This window comes from Homo sapiens, chromosome 2 (genome assembly GCF_000001405.40).
Source record: "Homo sapiens chromosome 2, GRCh38.p14 Primary Assembly".
NCBI lineage: Eukaryota > Metazoa > Chordata > Mammalia > Primates > Hominidae > Homo > Homo sapiens.
Genome location: NC_000002.12, coordinates 229,329,887 through 229,332,116, shown reverse-complemented (window position 1 = coordinate 229,332,116; position 2,230 = coordinate 229,329,887). Strand labels below are relative to the sequence as shown.

The following is a 2,230-nucleotide window of genomic DNA, read 5'->3' as shown; positions in this document are numbered from 1 at the left end:
GCAAACTAAGGCCTCTTTAGAACCTGCATTGTTAGAGAGCCAAGCTTTTAATTAAAATACAACTGGGTACAAACCTGTACAGAAGCCATACTTAAGGGAGACACAAGTTTTGCAACCTCACCCCAGCAGTCTTACGTTGGGAGCAGGTGGTGCTGGAGGGCAGACACATTGGAGGTGCTGGAAGAAGGTGGTCGTGACTGGTGGGGCAGGTAGGGGTCACCATTCCACGTTGAGGTCCAGGATGATAGAAGTGCTTCAGGGGCAAGGAGAGGTCCTTCACTAAGGTAGACCATGCACTCAGATGTTGCCCACGGAGAAGGTAGTATGGGGTCAACATCTGCCAAAGGACTATCTAGCTGGAGTCTCAGAAAGACAGGAAAGTGAGTTCTCCAGAAGAAGAGGGTTAGGCCACAGTTCTTACGGATTCAGGTGCAAAAGATGTGATTTACCCCTCGATACTTAAGTACAAAAACGTCAGGTGTTTTCCTGAATCAAATTTAGCCTGACTTAGGTCTTAGCCTTCTCTTTTTGATAATGTACAAAATGCCAGAACTTACACAATCTTGAAATGTTGATAAAGAGCCTGGGGTCTCTGGTGGCCACTGAGCTACTCAGGAAATAGGCAGCAAGGCTCATCAGAAGATGTGGGAAGAGAGGGACCAGGTGATTTGCCCAGAGTCTCACAGCAGGTAGGTGGGCCAAGACTCACACACGGCACTTTTGTCTCTTACCAGCCCAGGCCATTTGTCTTCTCTCCTCCTCCTTGTGCCAAATCCATTCAACAGAATAGGTGCTCTCAGTGAGTCTCTAGTGGAGAAGTTTTCAAGTAGCCACACAGCAATTACGCAGTGCCAGCAATTGTCATATCAGCCCTAAGAAAGGTTTTGAAAGCTGCAGTGAAAGGACTCCACGTCTCCAAGTCTCGTGCTCAGAGAGTTCAGAAACCAAATAGGAAGTGAAACCACAGGACCATCTGCAAGAGAAAAAAATAAAGAAATGAGGAAGCCAGGAGGGGGAAGCATGGAAATGAACCCTGACCAGGGTACTGATGACAGTTAAATAAGGGCAAGACTTGATGAACGATGGGAAGTCTTGGTTGTATTAAGAACCAAAGGTTACTTCAACAAGCATTTACGGAGTGACTTTCCTGTGCCAAATCCTATGCGAGGTGCTGAGGATATAAAGATTAATTAGACCTCCAGCTCATTGCTGAGTCCAGAGACTATAGTATTTCACAGATTCAATCACAGATATCTGTACAAGGCACAGAACCCATTAGGAAGAAAGAGTGATTTCATAGCTCATGGGGTGAATGAAGGCATAGCTCATATGCCAGCTGTCTGCTGTCCTTTGAAATAAATAAAACATTTTATTTATTTCAAAGGACAGCTGGAAATATTTTATTTACTTATTTTTATTTAATGTACTTCATCAAAAATAATTAACTCCAGGCCCCTAGCTCATGATTAGGGAACAGCCAATGGACTCTCCAAAATTTCTGGCAACTTCCAGGGTCTCACAGGCTCACAGTTCCTTCTGACTCTGAGAACCCAACAGAGGTCAGACTCACAAGACCATGTGTCTCACTTTCTACAGCTTTTCTTTCCTGTGCTCCATTCTGACCCAGATATGGATCTCATCCTTTTTCTACAAAAAGCTTTCACACAAGCTGGAGTTGGATTAAAAAATAATAGTATGGCGAGGCACGGTGGCTCACGCCTGTAATCTCAGCACTTTGGGAGGCTAAGGCAGGCAATCACTTGATATCAGGAGCTTGAGAGAAGCCTGGCCAACATGGTGAAACCCCATCTCTACTAAAAATACAAAAATTGCCAGGCACAGTGGTGCGTGCCTGTAATCCCAGCTACTTGGGAGGCTGAGGCAGGAGAATCACTTGAATCTGGGAGACAGTGGTTGCAGTGAGCTGAGATCGCACCACTGCACTCCAGCCTGGGCAACAGAATGAGACTTTGTCTCAAAAAAAAAAAAAAAAGAAAAGAAAAAAAACACCCAAAAAAGTATGGAGATGAACACTAAAGAATAGGAATAAATCACCCCCAGTCAGAATTGGCATTGGCTGTTAAAAGTTTCATGTGACTACTTTACCAGCTGAAAATCAGCTCTTCACACAAGGCACATGTAGGTCAACTGAATTTAATGAAAATATGTGAACATGGCTTTTCCACTTAAATGACTGAAAATCTAATATGACTTAGTCCTATCTTTAAAA

At 43.9% G+C, this 2,230-nt stretch overlaps 1 annotated feature.

The window, feature by feature from the left end:
* Positions 409-1,489: an enhancer, noted in NCBI's record as "amplified fragment containing the chr2:230195344-230196424 (GRCh37) CAGE-defined region". NCBI's record gives its function as "transcribed enhancer in THP-1 monocytes {active_cell/tissue: THP-1}" and the evidence as "EXISTENCE:reporter gene assay evidence [ECO:0000049][PMID:24670763]".